Source organism: Homo sapiens, chromosome 8, assembly GCF_000001405.40.
Source record: "Homo sapiens chromosome 8, GRCh38.p14 Primary Assembly".
Taxonomy (NCBI): Eukaryota; Metazoa; Chordata; class Mammalia; order Primates; family Hominidae; genus Homo; species Homo sapiens.
The window spans coordinates 67,063,832-67,081,011 of record NC_000008.11 but is presented as its reverse complement, the minus strand read 5'-3'; the positions used below and the strand labels follow the sequence as shown (position 1 = coordinate 67,081,011).

Below are 17,180 nucleotides of genomic sequence, written 5' to 3'. Positions count from 1 at the left end.
CCATGTGACATCAGCCAGGCCTAAGGGGAATGAATACAGCAGGGCTGGAGATCAAGCCAAGGAGCAACAATTCAACCAATCATTCCTACATAAGGAAAATCCAGTAAAAACTCTGGACACTCAGGCTTAGGTGAGGCTGATTGGCAATATTCTGTATCCTGTCACATACTGATGTGCTAGGAGGGTAATGTCTCCCTGAGACTAACAGATAATTAATGTTTGGACCGTCCCAGACCTTACCCTATGTGTCTCAACCTTTGGCTATTTCTAATTTGTATACTTATGCTATAAAACTGTGACCATAAGTACAGCACTTTCTTGAGTTCTGTGAGTCATTCTTATGAATTATTGAACTTGAGGGGATAGGGGAAACCCCCAAATTTATAGCCAGATGGTCAGACCTGAAGGTGTCCTGGTGACCCTTGAACTTGCAGCTGGAGTCTGAAGTGAAGGCAGTCTTGTGGAGGCCTATGCCCTTAACCTGTGAAGTTTGGTCCAACTCCAGGTAGCTGGTGTCAGAAGTCACTGTAACGCTACCTCAAATCCTTTTATGAAAGGTATAAATGGTGGTAGAAAGAGCCACATGGAATTAACCATGAATATCATCAGTATCTAACAGAAAAGAATTTATAAAATCATAGTGTTGTATGATAGTTGTACTATGAGCTATCAATAGATTGTTTTCATTGGATAAAATGAGTATGTCCAGTTTATATATCACTGATTACTACACTATGCTTAATTACTTATTCAAACTACGATGTTACAGTGCTTTAAGTCAATACCTCATTTCCAAATCTGACCTATATTAGACCTGTTTTTTATAATTCCTAAATGAGACCACTTAAGGAAAACCCTTAGTTGCCAAATAATTTTACATTTTTCCCAGTGTGAGAAACTATGTATTTGACTGAATTTTAAAGCCACAATTAATCAGGCAGGAGGTCAGTAACTAAATGCTTATGCAGTATAAAATTAGTCAATTATATATTGTTCTTTAATAAAATTCCATGTGCATCAAATGGTTTCAGATGGCAATGGAAGAAGCATTCCATGAAAATTAAAGTCAACACACCCAAGAGAATTGGTTTTATTTTTGCAATGGGGACATTAACCCGTTGGTTTAAAACAACTTTTCCAAGCAGTAAGTGCTGCGCACTGTGCTAGGCAGTGGAAATACAACGGGATGCAAGTTGGCATGTCATTGTGGTACAAAAGAGAAGCTGAATAAGTTCAAAACTACTCTTCAAGAGGAGAACAAATCCTCTAGAAGCACATGACAGGATTGACCAACCCAATCTAGCAGAAGTATTAAGATGGCAAATTTATCATATAAGAAAAAAAGAAGCCATCAAAGGGTTTGAAGCAGAGACTAATATGATCAGATTTGTTTTATGCAAATATATAGAAAACATAGAGATTTGATACACGGGGCTAGACTGTAAAACAAAACAACCACCAAAAACACTAGGAAGCTTTTACAAAAATCTGACAGACAACAGAGGCCTCATAAAAGAAAGTCAGTGGGATTACAGCAGAGTGACCTTACTTGAGATTTATGCATTAGAATCAACTAGACTTGTGTAACTGCTTGATATAGGAGACAGGAGAAGACAGGAATCAAGGATGACTAGGCAGCCAGCTCAGTGAGATGGGGAGCACTAGAAAGTTTGACAAGAGTATAAGTTAATTTTGCAAATTTTGATTTTGAGCCCATGCCATACATGACCATACAAGTACAGATGTCCAATGGAAAATCAGACATATGGGTCAAGTTCGCAATAGAACCTGGGACTGGGGATACAGATTCAGAAGTCATGAACACACTAACAGTAAATAAAGCCCTGTGAGCAGATATGGACACTCGGGGAATGTATAAGATGAGAAGTCAGCCTAGGTCAGAGGCCGAAGTAACACCAATTAATGAAAAGGCAGAGGTCACCATCTTTCAGTTATACTGTTAACTCTCCATAATATGTGAATGTAATGATCAAAGAATAATTCCTAAGACAATTCAAACAACTACTCTTTTTTTTTATTGAGATGGAGTCTCTCTCTGTCACCCAGGCTGGAGTGCAGGGGCATGATCTCGGTCACTGCAACCTCCGCCTCCTAGGTTCAAGTGATCCTCCCACCTCAGCCTCCCAAGTAGCTAGGATTATAGGCCTGCGCCACCATGCTGGGCTAATTTTTTTGTATTTTTAGTAGAGATGGGGTTTTACCATGTTGGCCAGGCTGGTCTTGAACTCCTGATCTCAAGTGATCTGCTGGCCTCAGCCTCCCAAAGTGTTGGGATTACAGGTGTGAGCCACCACGCCCAGCCCGAAAAACTACTTTTAAAAAGATGGAAGGCCAGGCACAAGTGGCTCACACCTGTAATCCCAGAACTTTGGGAGGCCGAGGCAGGCGGATGGCTTGAGCTAGCGAGTTCGAGACCAGACCAGCCTGGGCAACATAGCGAAACACCACCTCTACAGAAAATATATGTATATAAAAAAAAGTTAGCCAGCATGGTGGTGCTCACCTGTGGTCTCAGCTACTTGGAGGCTGAGGAGGGAGGATGAATCACTTAAGCCTGGACAGTGGAGGTTGCAGTGAGCCAAGATTATGCCACTGCACTCCAGCCTGGGCGACAAAGTAAGATCCTGTCTCAAAAAAAAAAGATGTTAAGGAGAAAAAGAAATTAATATTTATTGTGTACCAATTACGTGCCAGCCATCTTTTCACGTATTTAACTTTCGCCCATAACGACTTTTTGAGATAGATGTCATAAGATAAGGAAACAAAGTGTAGCTCCTGACAGGTCATAAAGGCATCACAGCCCAATCCAAAGCAAGCTGTAACCCTAGAATTTAAAAGGGATTCTGTCTAACCTTAGCGACCTTAGTGCTTGAGATAACCTACTATTAAACTTTTTAAAAATTATCTCTTGGAATAATTAAAATTTAGATTCATAAAAACGTAGGGCTGGAAGATAATCAAACTTATTTCACAGAAAAAAAATTGAGAGCCTTAGAGATTAAAAAATTTTACCAATATATAATACTTTAGTTCACTAATGCTGTATATTAATAATTTATAAGAGATTCAAAATGGAAAGAGTTATCTATCTGATATTAAAAGTAGGGCACTCACTTTGAGCTATTTGTCTAATGCAGAGACAAAGCTTACTGACTATCCAGTTTCTTGGCCGGCATCCCCTTGTATCCACTGGCACACAAAAACAATTTAGGAGTATACCTACATCCATGAAAAGCTGTCCATTTGAGAACAATGCTTTAATCAAATGAACTTATCATAGTTGATTTTCTTTTTGTGAAAAAGTTTGTCATCATCAATAAATCACAAAATGCACATTGAAAATATTCATACAGGTCGGGCACAGTGGCTCACGCCTGTAACCCCAGCTTTGGGAGGCCGAGGCGGGCAGGCAGATCACCTGAGGTCAGGAGTTCGAGACCAGCCTGGCCAACACTGCGAAACCCTGTCTCTACCAAAAATATAAACAATTAGCTGAGTGTGGTGGCATGCGCCTGTAATCCCAGCTACTTGAGAGACTGAGACAGGAGAATCGCCTGAACCTGGGAGGTGGAGGCGGCAGTGAGCCGAGATCGTGCCACTGCACTCCAGCCTGGGCGACAGGGTCAGACTCAGCCTTGAAGAAAAAAAAAAAAAATTATATATATTCATACAGACTGGGCATGGTGGCTCAGGCCTGTAATTGTAGTACTTTGGGAGGCCAAGGCAGGAGGATTGCTTGAACCCAGGAGTTCAAGATAACACTGAACTATGATCATGCCACTGCACTCCAGCCTGAGTGACAGAGAGAGAGAGAGAGAGACCCTGTCTTTAATAAATAAACAAAAATTTTTACATATTCATACATTTTCTTTTTTTAAAATGTATACCTACCAACAAGCCAAAATGTGGTAAAAAGTTTCCAAATATTTTCATACCATACCATAATCAAAGCATTAGTATGGCTACAGTATTAACTTCTTTACAATTCCAACATGATCATCAATAATTAAAATAGTCTTTCACCAAACAGCATTTTGTACCCTTTAAGCATATTTCTTTAATTTTTAAATAAGCAAGTTCACCATTTTCAATCAACAAATAAAAGTTTCTCTTCTCTCTCTCTCTCACACACACAAATTCCTTTCAAAGTTTTCAATTTTTAAGTTATGTTATACACACCTTCTTCTATAAGTTCCATAAATCATAACCAATGCAGTATCACATAAAACAAGTACAAAGTTTTCAGTATGAGTTCTATTTCATATGTAGACCATATTGACTTACGTAAGATTCCAGAAAGAAAAACTACTAGGATTCCAAATAAATCTTTTTTTCTGACAAGACAAACCTCTTTCAGAAGAGCCCACTAAGGATATCTTAAAATAAGTTTAGCACATCTAATGACATACCTAAGGAACCCCTGGTCTGTTGACTATTTGGTGGTATGTTTTCCTTAGCCATAGAGATCAGTATCTTACTGTTTTCAGAAAGCTTCGCTGACAACTTTCCCTGAAAGAGACATAATGTTTACAAAAGCAAGAGGAAAAAAAAAACCATGAAATATACAACTCATCTCAAATTTTAATTAAACAGCTTGATGAAATTACACAGTACATCATAGAAGAAATTAAGTGTAAGGTTTGAGGAATTAGCCAAAGGTATTTTAATTTTATAATAGATATTCTAATATTTAACTCATTCACTTACCAACAAATATTTACTGAGTTCCCATTAAGTGCCAAACATTTTGTCAAGCATTGAAAGTATAAGAGTTTTAAAAAATAGAAGAATTTCTGCCATCATGAAGCTTATAAACTATTGGGGGGACACATAATGAACTCAACACATGATTAGATTATGTGATATGTAGATAGTGGCAGGAAGTGGTTATGGAAAAAAAAAAAAGCAGATTAAAGTAAGGAGGCCCAGAAATGCTGGGGGACTATAAGGCCTCACTGAGCAGGTGATACTTGAACTAAGACTTAAAATTATTTATGTACAAATTAATGTTAGAAATTATAACAAAACTGTCTTTAAAGCTATGTACTCCAAATCATGTAACTCCAAAGCCGTAAGCTGGTCCTAACTACTGGAGAGTGGTTAAGAGATAGACTCTGGAGCTGCATAAAGGTTCCACTCCTGAATCCACCACTGTGTGGACCTGGACAAATTACTTAACTCCTGTGAGCTTCACTTTCTTAATCCATAAAACAAAAAAAATTCACCTGCTTAACAGGGATATTATGATTAAATAAAATGATACATATAAAGTCCTTGGCATTCCTGGTACATGACAGGTTATCTGGAAGAAAGGCAACCTATTATGTTGGTTCCGAGGACAAGCACTGAAGCCAGGCTGCCAGGGGTCAAAGCCTAGTTCCACCAACTCTACTGCCTTAGTCTCATTACTTAACTTGCCTCAGTTTACTCATCTGGAAAATTACAATAACAGCACTTACCTCATAGATTACTGTGAAATATAACCTCTTAAGAATATGCCTTGTCCATAGCTAGTACTCAATAAATGTTAGCCATGTGAGTAAAATTGTAATCAGGGTATCTATATTATTTATCATCTCAGCCAAGGTACCTTTGTCCAGGACAAATGCTAAACCAGAAAAAAACACTGGACAACAGGTAAACCAGGATCATCTTGAACAAACCAATATATATGGTTACTGTCATTATGATGAACCATATGGCACAGATTAAACTACATGCTGTATCTTATTACATACACTGAGCCCTGAGAAGGTGCCACAACACTCTAATCAGTGCTGCATTCTCAGAGCTTAGCATAATACCTAACACAATCTCAGTAAGTATTTGCTAAATGGATAAATCAGTTTCACCTAAACAAGGAAAGCTTTAAGAAAGCCTTTAAGACATTGCTTTAAGAAACAATTATTTTAGGCCGGGCACACTGGCTCATGCCTGTAATCTCAGCATTTTGGGAGGCCGAGGTGGGTGGATCTCAAGGTCAGGAGTTCAAGACCAGCCTGGCCAACATAGTGAAATCTCAACTCTACTAAAAATACAAAAATTAGCCAGGCATAGTGGCGGGCACCTGTAGTCCCAGCTACTCATGAGGCTGAGGCAGAAGAATCACTTGAGCCTGGGAGGCGGAGGTTGTGGCGAGCTGAGATCACACCATTGCAGTCCTGCCTGGCCAACAGAGCGAGATTCTATCTCAAAAAAAAAAAAGCAATTATTTTAAGAAATTTATATTAAGAAACACAAATAGTACAAAATAAATTAATAAATTCACTTTTTCAGATTTCAAAAAAACTTTTTAAACTAATTAAATTGAATTTTTTCACATAGACTATAAACTTGCTTTTACAACTATTCTGTTTATGTTGTGGAAGTTCTTTGTAATAGAACTGGTCTCATAATCATTTTATAACCAAATAATTCTTCAACAAGAGATAAGAGAAACACTGTGAGATATAAACCACCACAAAAGAAAAACTGCATTCAAAATTACTGCAATCTTGTCTGGAGTCAGGCTCCTAGAATGACAGCATACTACAAAACAGAAGATTCTCACTCATAGAAGAGGATGTTTTGTATTTACACAGGAGTAATCTCCATAGACAATTATAATAAAACATGTTCAAAGAAAATTATTAAATTTACCTTCATTTCCATGTAAGGTGGATCACTTTCCAACTCTGCTTTGTCTTCGGCCAATCTGGCTTTTTGCTCTTCAATAAATTCATCCAAATTATCAGCCATTTTGCAGATTCTTTAAAAAAAAATTTCAGTGAGCGTATCTATATCACAGTATTTTTAGCCTAATTATCAACATGTAGGCTTAGTCCACATTTAGTTTTCAATCTCACTTATCAAATTGAGAAATTCAAACTTAAGATTGATCATAAATATGCCTGCCTACTGCCTCTCCCAGCTTCCCCAAAAAGCCTACAATATACTTTAAAATATCTGAAATAAAAAGAAAATGAAAAACTACCACCACCCTCCATATACACTCCCTCTCCGGCAAAAAACGAAGGCAAGCAAACAAAAAGCTCTTTAAATCCTTAAGCCAAAGCACTTCAAAAAAAAAGTTTTTTTTAAATATTGGGAGATAATTTCTGACCTACAGAGAAGTTACAGTAATAATACCAAGAACACACAAAGAGTCTTTATTAATTCCCTATTAAGATTTGGCTCCACTTGCTTCATCCTTTGCTTGTGCACACAAGGTCATTCTCTCCATACACACAAACACAATTTTTTCTAAAATTATTCAGAGAATAAAGTATATATATCATAGCCCTTTGCCCCTAAGCTCTTCAGTGTGTGTGTCTTAAGAATTGGGTTATTTTCTTATATAACCTCAACATAATTATCAACTTTTGTAACACTGATTTTTTAATCTATTGTCCATATTCCACTTTTGTCAACTGACTCAATAGCAGCCTTTACAGCCTATTTTTCTCTTTCTAATTCGGGATCCCATCTAAGTTAGGTACTGATTGCATTTCACTGCTATATCTCTTTTGCCTTCTTTAATTTGGAATATCTATCTCTACCATCTTTCTTTGTCTTTTACCAATTTACACAGGTAAAAGAATCCTGTGTAACAGAACATCCTTTTCAATAGAACATCCCTCATCTAGGGTGTGCCTGATGTTTCTTAATGACTAAATTTAGATTATGCATTCTCACCAGAAATATTAGGTGAAATTTTAAGGTGTCACAAAGAGAAGGCACGTGATATTTACCTGCCCCTTGTTAGTGATGTTATTTTTTATTATATGGTCAAGATGTTGTCTAATTCCTGAACTGCTAAACTGTTCCTCAAAGTACAAAGTACCATATTTACATTCCAATGTATAAGAATGTATGTGGGTTGTAATGACAATTGCAATTTCTACACATCCTTGCCAGGGCGTGATATTTTCAGTCATTTTTATCTTAGTCATTCTATTGTGTATTTATTTAGTGGTTATCTCTCTGAGTGTTTTAATCTGCATTTCTCTGATAACTATGATGTTGAGCATCTTTTCATCTATTTTTTTACCATACATATAATCATTGGGAAAGTATCTACTCAAATCTGCCCTTTTGTTAAAATTAGCTTTTCTTTCTTTCTTTTTTTTTTTTTTTTTTTTTGAGACAGGCTCTCTCGTTGTTTCACAGGCTAGAGAGTACAGTGTTGCCATCATAGTACACCTTCAGCCTTGAACTCCTGGGCTCAAGCAATCCTCCCACCTCAGCCTCCTGAACAGCTAGGACTATAGGCAAGCACCACCATCCCCAGCTAGTTTTTTCATTTGTTTGTTTATTGCAGACACAGGATCTCACTACGTTGCCCAGGCTGGAGTGGTATGATCATAGCTCAATGTTACCCCTTCAATTCCTGGACTCAAGTGATCCTCCTGCCTCGGCCTCCCAAAGTGTTCCAACTACAGGCATGAGCCACCAAGCCCAGCAGGTTGTTTTATTACCATTGAATTGTAAGATTTCTTTATATACACTTGATAAAAGTCATTTATTAAACTTGCTTTATTTTTACAAAGCAATATTTTACAAAACTTGCTTTGTAAAAATATTTTCTGCCAATCTGTGGTTTGTAAGTTTTCTTGATATATTTTTAACAGTGAAAGTTTATAATTTTTATCAAGTCCAATTTATCAATTTTTAAATTTGTTTGTACTTTTTGTGTCCTATCTAAAAAAAATCTTTTTTTTTTTTGAGACAGAGTCTTGCTCTGTCGCCCAGGCTGGAGTGCAGTAGCGCAATCTCACTGCAGCCTCCGCCTCTTGGGTTCAAACAATTCTCCTGCCTCAGCCTCCTGAGCAGCTGGGACTACAGGCGCCCGCCACCACACCTGGCTAATTTTTTGTATTTTTTGTAGAGACGGGATTTCACCGTGTTAGCCAGGATGGTCTCAAGATGGTCTCAATCTCCTGACCTTGTGATCCACCTGCCTTGGCCTCCCAAAGTGCTGAGATCACAGGTGTGAGCCACCACGCCCAGCTAAAAAAAATCTTTGCCTAACCCAAGATCACAAATATTTTCTTTTATGTTTCCTTTTAGAAGTTTTTAGTTTTTTCTCTTACATTTAAGTCTGTGATCCATTCAAAGTTAATTTTTGCAAATCTGTAAGTGTCAAGGCTCAACTTTTTTGCATATGAATAGAGTATTCCAGCACCATTTTTTGAAAAGACTAACCTTTCTTCATTTAACCTAGAATTTTTTTCCAAACACATCTTCCAAAGTCCCATTAAAGTTAGCATCTAATTGGGTACGTAGACAAAAAAGAAGCCACTAATGATCAAAGTTTTAAGGCCTGGAAGCTAAATGTGGATAGAATCTTGGACAGAAGTAAGTCAGAGCAAGTTGGAAGATTTAGAAAGGTTTGGTTTACATATGTTAAGTTGGAGCTAGTAAGATGTGCTACTGGAAATTTACAGTAGACGGTTAGAAATTCAAGATTCAAATTCAAGAAAATGAACTACATTAACTATGTATTTTAAAGGTAACAGTTGAAGCCACAGTAAATGAGCACAGGGAGGGAAAAAGAGAGATGACCCAGAACTAAACAACAGCCAATGTTCACTTGAGGGAGTGACAGAAGAATTGAAGCTGGGGGAAAAAAAAAAAACAGAGGGAATAATTAAATAATAATTAAAACAGGGATATGAAACAAACCCAATCAGCATAATTAGTTGAGGAAAAGAGGAAAGAGGTACAAAATAGAACTGGTAAACAATATCAAATGCAAGCAAGTTAAAGAAAAAAAGTATCCCCTGAACTTAATGTTTGGGACAATAATAATTTGTAAAATATATATATATATCATTGTAGAAAAGCAGGCTTTACCTAAAAGAATATGTTGAAACTTATAACAGGTAAACAGTACCTAATGTAAACTTCACGCCATTATGTAATGCCAAAAGAAACACTGATTTTAAAACATAGCCGTAGGCTGGGCTTGGTGGCTCACACTTGTAATCCCAGCACTCTGAGAGGCTGAGGTGGGATCACTTGAGCGCAGGAGGTCAAGACCAGCCTGGGCAACATAGTAAGATCTTGTCTCTACTAAAAATAAAAATAAAATTAGCCAGGCATAGTGGTGCATCCTGTAGTCCCAGCTATTGGGGAAGCTGAGGCAGGAGGATTGGATCACTTGAGCCCAGGAGATCAAGGCTACAGTGAGCTTATGAGCATGCCACTGTACTCCAGCCTGGGCAACAGAGCAAGACCCCATCTCAAAAAAAAACACTAAAAATAGAAATATATATATATATATATATTTACATATATAGTTTTAGCAAAATATACTTCAAATCAACAAAAGTTGATAAATTCTGGCCAATTTCTTTTGTTGTTTTTTGTTTTTTAGAGATGAGGTCTCGCTCTGCTGCCCAGGCTAGTGTGCAGTGGCACGATCATAGTTCATTGTAACTTTGAACTGCTAAGCTCAAGTGATCCTCCATGTTGGCCACCAGAATCACTGGGATTATAACTGCCAGCAACCACACTCAGCTTATTTCAGCTTTTTTTTTTTTTTTTTGAGATGGAGTCTCGCTCTGTCACCTAGGCTGGAGTGCAGTGGCGCGATCTCGGCTCACTGCAAGCTCCACCTCCCGGGGTCATGCCATTCTCCTGCCTCAGCCTCCCGAGTAGCTGAGATTACAGGTGCCCACCACCATGCCCAGCTAATTTTTTTGTATTATTAGTAGAGACAGGGTTTCACTGTGTTAGCCAGGATGGTCTCAATCTCCTGACCTCGTGATCCGCCTGCCTCGGCCTCCCAAAGTGCTGGGATTACAGGTGTGAGCCACCGTCCCGACTTATTTCAGCCATTTTTAATTTGCTAATAGTCACGAAAGATTTTTCCTAGTAAAAATTCTGAACTCAACAGCAAACAAGTTTTCATGTTTAAAACAATCAATCCTCAAAATCCTCTAATCTTCCCTAAATATTCTATGTCTGATAGGAATAAAATGATGAGATAACGCATATATTTTGCTATAGAATTTTGCACAGAATTTAAACAGAAATGTCATTTATCTAGGTTGGGGGCGGTGGCTCACGCCTGTAATCCCAGCACTTTGGGAGTGTGAGGCAGGTGGATCACCTGAGGTCAGGAGTTCGAGACCAGCCTGGCCAATATGGCGAAACCCCGTCTCTACTAAAAATACAAAAATTAGCCAGGCATGGTGGTATATACCTGTAATCCCAACTACCGGGGGACACTGAGGCAGGAGAATCGCTTGAACCAGGCAGGTGGAAGTTGCAGTGAGCCGAGATCATGCCACTGCACTCCAGTCTGGGCAACAGAGTGAGACTCCATCTCAAAAAAAAAAAAAAGAAAGAAAAGAAAAAAAAGAAATGTCATTTATCTAAAAAGAAAAAAAAAACAGTAACATGCCACCTTCACATGGAACTAAGGTTTCCATACCACCTAATAACAATTATTAATTTAACATGTTCATTTACATGTTGTTCTAACCAGGCTTTGAAAGATCTCCCTCTTGAATTTATAGATGCTTATCTTTCTCTTTACTGTAATTATTTAACATTATAAATTATAGAACTGATTTTAACTTACAGTAATCAAAAGTACAAAAAGTACAAATAAAACATACTTTTAAACAACCATAGTAAATATAGCATATGCCATAACTAAAACATAAGATTTATCCGAGATATAAGTACATTTCTAATCATTTCTAAATTTTTCCTGTATCTAATCTGATTAGATTATAATGACTTTAATATTAAAGAGTCAAAGACACTAATGAGCTTTCTCCTGGTAATGATCTCCAGCCAAAGAACACCAGGAAAACTACCACAGTTAAGTTGGATGTACTACTCATTGCATTAAGGAATGCACGGAGAACACACACCATGGGGAACCCTGTGGTATCGTGGTAAGAGGGTATTGGAAAAGACTTATATGTGTTGGGTGATTTGGGGGAAGGCTTAATTTGAGGAAGTGGAGCTTTGCTCAGGATTGAACACTGTTAGAAGTGGGGTTAATTCTATGATGGTACCACTCAATAAATCTAAAATATAGGGGGAGGCTAATGCTGTAACTGGTAAACAAGCAGTAGTCATTCACATCAGCTGGGAAAGGGAATGTTTGGTATCTCGGTTCTTGGACAATATTTACGTTTTGTCTGTGTTTGGAGACACTGATGGAATGTTTTTGTCTTGATCCATCATAGACACAGAGCGGCCTTATCTGATGTTGACATTCTGTACAATAGTTTATCTTCAACAGAAAAACACAAAGTTACTGTGAATGCCAGGCTAGTTTCTAGCAATACCAGTTTCTAGATATCACGGCCACTTTTCTTTTTCTCACTCCTAAAAGCATGTGGTAACTTACAGAAAACATATTTCAACTACACAATTATTCAAGAATTACTTGGTGAATCACAGAGACTGGGTTAATAAATATGGCATAGGTACAATATAGAGTAAGAAAGTTTATAATTTAAGGATTAAGTTGCCAAAAATAAATCAGCTGAAAGAAACCTAAATGAGATTATTTATATATGACACTCTACAATATAAAGTCACTCACAACTTTTTTCAAGACATCATGGCCAAGTATTATTTCTCCAGTAGCTGTGTACATAGTATGTAGATGATAAACAGTTTTCAGGAAAATAGTTTAATTGAAAGAACTGAGTTTGAAATATACTTCTATCACTTATTGATCTCAACATGAATGACCTCAAGCATGTTCCTTAACTGCTCTATGCCTAATCTATAAAACAGAAATATCATTTATTCTAGTATATTATGAAGAAAAAAGAAAATAATGCATATAAAAATTATGACAGAGAACCTAACACTTAGAAATCAACAGATCAGGCCAGGCGCAGTGGCCCATGCCTGTAATCCCAGCACTGTGGGAAGCCAAGGAGAGTGGATCACCTGAGGTTAGGAGTTTGAGACCAGTCTGGCTAACACAGCAAAACCCATCTCCACTAAAAATACAAAAATTAGCCAGGCATGGTGGCACACCTCTGTAGTCCCAGCTACTCAGGAGGCTGAGGCAGGAGAATTGCTTGAACCCAGGAAGCAGAGGCTGTAGTGAGCCCAGATCACGCCACTGTACTACAGCCTCGATGACAGAGCAATACTCTGTCAAAAAAAAAAAAAAAAGAAATCAACAGATCAATTCTTTTATTGTTTATGGTTGTATCTTTACAGTCTTTGCATATATGAAGATTTACCTCTTAAAAACAGAGCCTGCAGCCGCGCGTTGTGGCTCACACCTGTAATCCCAACACTTTGGGAGGCCGAGGCGGGCGGATCACGAGGTCAGGAGATCAAGACCATCCTGGCTAACACGGTGAAACCCCGTCTCTACTAAAAGTACAAAAAATTAGCCAGGCTTGGTGGCAGGCGCCTGTAGTTCCAGCTACTCAGAAGGCTGAGGCAGGAGAATGGAGTGAACCTGGGAGGCAGAGCTTGCAGTGAGCTGAGATCGTGCCACTGCACTCCAGCCTAGGTGACAGAGCGAGACTCTTGTCTCAAAAACCAAAACAAACAAACAAACAAACAAAAAAAACAGAGCCTGCAAACGTAAAGTATGCTGAGATTTAAATAATCAATAATTGATACTTGGTTATCATAATCCACACCAACATCTCTAAACCTTAACCTTTGGCTCTTTATGCTTATCATATAGATATAAGCAGACCAGAGCATACCCATTCTGCTAAGTCTAGTCAAATCCAATAAACAAACAGAACCCAGTTAAAACTGAGTTTGCCCAATTCCTTCTCCCAAATCCATCAGTCACAAAAAGATGGGAAAATGTTGCTCCTATCCTTTTCCCTCTCAAGGAGTGGAGTACAAATTTCCTCCCCACTATGGGAGCATGAGAAATGGAAAATGACTTCCCTCCTAAAGCATGACATTGTGCTAGAGGCTGGCGTAGTCAAAAATATAAAATGTGGCTGGGCACCGTGGCTCACGCCTGTAATCCCAGCACTTTGGGAGGCCAAGACGGGCGGATCGCTTGAGGTCAGGAGTTTGAGACCAGGCTGGCCAACATGACAAAACCCCATCTTTACTACGAATAAAAAAATTAGCTGGGTGTAGCAGGAGGCAGAACCATTGCTTGAAAATGGGAAGCAGAGGTTGCAGTGAGCCGAGATCACACCACTGCACTCCAGCATGGGTAACAGAGTGAGACTCTGTCTCAAAAAACAAACAAACAAACAAACAAAAAACAAATATATATGTGTGTATATATGTGTGTGTGTATATATATGTATATATATAAACATGATTCTTGTCCTCAAATTTGGACAAGATAATGCCCCCTGCTACAGAGGCTGACAGGGGTTTAGGAGCTGAATGTGAGATATCCATAATGGATACACCGGAGATACGAAGAAATCAATCTGAAAATGTCTACAACTCAGAATAGAACCCAGGCTGGAAATAAAGATCTAGCAGTGTTTAAAATAATCATTAAGGCTGTGGGAGAAGAGTTTTGTCTGGAAAAAGAGACCCTAGAGTAGGGGAACAGGACCTAGAACAGGTGTCAAAGTGTGATAACATGTGCGGTGGGGGGAGGGGCCAGTGAAAGAGCTTTAGAAGAAAGGGAGGGACAAAGTGACCAGGACAATGTTTCTCACTTCTCATCCATCCAGAGATCCATCTACCGAATGAAAGGTTCTCCATCTTCCTCCTGGCAGATGGCATCCACATGAGCAACTTCCTCCCATGGGTACACCAAAATTTTGACAAATTTCCCTAAATATTGCTAAGATGTAAATACTGTTGCTGGGGGAAAGAGAGGGAGGCTGGGAGACAGGATACAAAGAGAGAGTGAATAAATATATAAAACCATGTTGAAGTCTTTCAGTAGCTATTAATAATACACCCTTAATGGTGATTAACGGCAGTAGCATAAATTAGCCTTTGGGTTATGCCAAATTGCTGAAACACTTGCTCAAACACCCTTGCCTGCCACTCAGGAAAGTACATCAGAACCTAAGTCAGAATGATGTTAAAAGGATAATCTGAAATCTGCTCAAATGTGTAACAGTTAATTCATATTTGTCTGAAAGCTTCATCTGAGAAAAACTGTACCGAAAGTAGCCTGTTTCAATTTACTCTGTCTAAACTCACCCACTCCCTCCCAGGCGGCCATCTGGCAGAAGACCCAAACTTGAACGGGCACAATGGCTCAGGGCCGTAATTCCAGCACTTTGGGAAGCCGAGGCAAACGGATCACTTGAGGTCAGGAGTTCGAGACCAGCCTGGCCAACAAGGTGAAACCCCCTTCTCTACTAATGCCACTGCACTCCAGCCTGTACAACAGAGCGAGACCCTGTCTCCAAAAACAAAACAAAACAAACAAACAAAAAAACTTGATCCTTGTGGAGCATTTCAGCAGACATTTAATCACCAGAAAGCTAGCGACCTCCTAGGGAGAAGAATGATATGGAGAAAAGAAAATACCTCAATAGCTTCCATGGAGCTTGTCAACATTACAAGTCATTCCTTCACACAGAATAAAGCCTAATTTAGGCTTTTTATAAATTCCTATCGGTTGCTTTTAAGCCCCTGCATTTTCCAAGGTGTTTGGAAAGTAGGTGATGGTTTACTTCAGAATTTAGTCTTCCCCGCAATCCTAGTTAAGCGTCTTAATCCTACAATCTTGAGAGCTAGCCTCTCTCAAAAGATGAGTCCCATTAATAACATGTACTGACAACTGGATTTGAGTCCCACATAAGATTCCTAAAATCAAGGCAGTTAGAAACAAGAGGTTCAAGCTCAAGCAGTCGGGCAATCACGGGGGGAAATACGGTCACAACAGTACGAGCTACGAGCTACGGTGAAGATTAAATAAGTTTTACTAGCAAAGCAGTGCGCACAAGCGCTCCCACGTTAACAATAACAAGCACCGAGGGGCAAGAAAGGCGCTCGGGGAGGCTTGACGGAGCAGGGGGGGCCTGGCCGTTGGGGAGAGAAGGCGCATGGGAACCAAGGAACCGCTCGCCCCCGGGCCCTGGAGGTGGCTGACTAGGAAGCGTCGTCAGGCAACCAGCTATCAACAACACCGCGGGCAGCAGCGACCGCAGTGGCCCAGGAATCCGGACCGTGTAACCAGGGAACCTCCCCGACCCCGGCAGCTGCAAGACCCCTGCTCACAGAACTCCCGCCCCCAACCCTCATAACTCGTAGTCACCGATGCCGGCCTCACGGCGGCGAAATCCCAACTCTCCACACCCTTAACTCGGGCACCTCCCCCACCGCACCCAGCCGCCACGAGACCCCCTGCCGACAAGAAACCCCACCCCCACCCCCAGATTCCAGAGCCTGTAACTCTGGCACGTCGCCGGCCTAGTTGCCTCGAGACCTACGCCCCGAGGGAGCCACTGCCCCTGCCCCCGCTCCGGGGCAGCGAATGCAGCCCCAGGACCCTCCACCCTCAACCTACACCACCCCAGGCCACACCTCGCCACTCACGCTCCCCATCCGCGGCTGGCTGACTCTTACTCAGGGGAGCGGGCTCGCGTCCGGGGAGACACACAGTGCTCTAGAGGATCGTCGCGGACCGAAGAGGTTACAGCGGCCACCTGGAGCGGGAACAGCATGACAGACCTCCGGGCCGGGGCTCCGCCCCTCAGGCCCAGCCCTCCGCTCGCCCTTCGCCAACCGCCGGGTACGGCCCCGCCCCCACTGCAGGCGGCCGCGCGGCAAGACATCGCCCCCTGCTGTCCTGGAGGCCGCATAGCTGCCCGCTGCTCTCGGTTCGCCAGTACGCTGGCCGGGGACTTGGTCAACTCGTTCTCCTGCTGTGCCCAGGGGCTATTAAACTGTGGGGGCCACTTCTCAGGCTAAATCTATTGCAGCCTCTCCAGCCTCCCATGCACCAGCCAGCTTAGGAACAGTGTAAGAGCCTGGAAAGAAAAATGGGGAGGGGTGGTAGTGAGAGGAAAAGTGTTGGCATACCTCTCAGGGCATTACTCCTAGCCCAGGAGTGTGGTCAACGTTGGGTCCTGGGCTTTCATTACCATTTTCAACATATTATTCAGTTCACCCCAATACAATCGCATATGGCCATATGCTACCACTAGAAAAGAGACCTCTAGTTTCCCAGGAGAGTGGAACTAAGGGTAGGTATTAATGTACTATTTTACCCTAAATTTCTTTGTAAGATG

General features: G+C 40.4%; 1 protein-coding gene across 33 annotated transcripts in view, besides 3 other annotated features; it reads right to left on the bottom strand.

Moving 5' to 3' along the window:
• The window catches only part of CSPP1 (centrosome and spindle pole associated protein 1), a 132,247-nt gene extending 115,603 nt beyond the window's left edge, over positions 1–16,644 (bottom strand). For 22 of the 33 annotated variants that reach the window (XM_011517598.3, XM_047422253.1, XM_047422245.1 and 19 more), the window contains exons 1-3: positions 16,516–16,644; positions 6,661–6,769; positions 4,431–4,530 (exon numbers count right to left, since the gene is read on the bottom strand). In XM_011517598.3, coding sequence (XP_011515900.2) covers positions 4,431–4,530; positions 6,661–6,769; positions 16,516–16,613 — 307 coding nt within the window. In that variant the 5' untranslated portion in view covers positions 16,614–16,644. Of the gene's footprint in view, positions 1–4,430; positions 4,531–6,660; positions 6,770–12,154; positions 12,913–16,473 lie in introns of those variants that run through there. The other 11 variants (NM_001364869.1, NM_024790.7, NM_001438331.1 and 8 more) reach the window with 3 other exon arrangements.
• Positions 16,477–16,664: a silencer, noted in NCBI's record as "fragment chr8:67976583-67976770 (GRCh37/hg19 assembly coordinates)". NCBI's record gives its function as "represses an EF-1alpha promoter that drives an FKBP-Casp9 reporter gene in an ReSE screen in HepG2 liver carcinoma cells {active_cell/tissue: HepG2}" and the evidence as "EXISTENCE:reporter gene assay evidence [ECO:0000049][PMID:32094911]".
• Positions 16,477–16,742: a biological region, named in NCBI's record as "ReSE screen-validated silencer GRCh37_chr8:67976583-67976770".
• Positions 16,603–16,742: a silencer, noted in NCBI's record as "silent region_19260". NCBI's record gives its function as "represses an Ori minimal core promoter by ATAC-STARR-seq in GM12878 lymphoblastoid cells {active_cell/tissue: GM12878}" and the evidence as "EXISTENCE:reporter gene assay evidence [ECO:0000049][PMID:35858748]".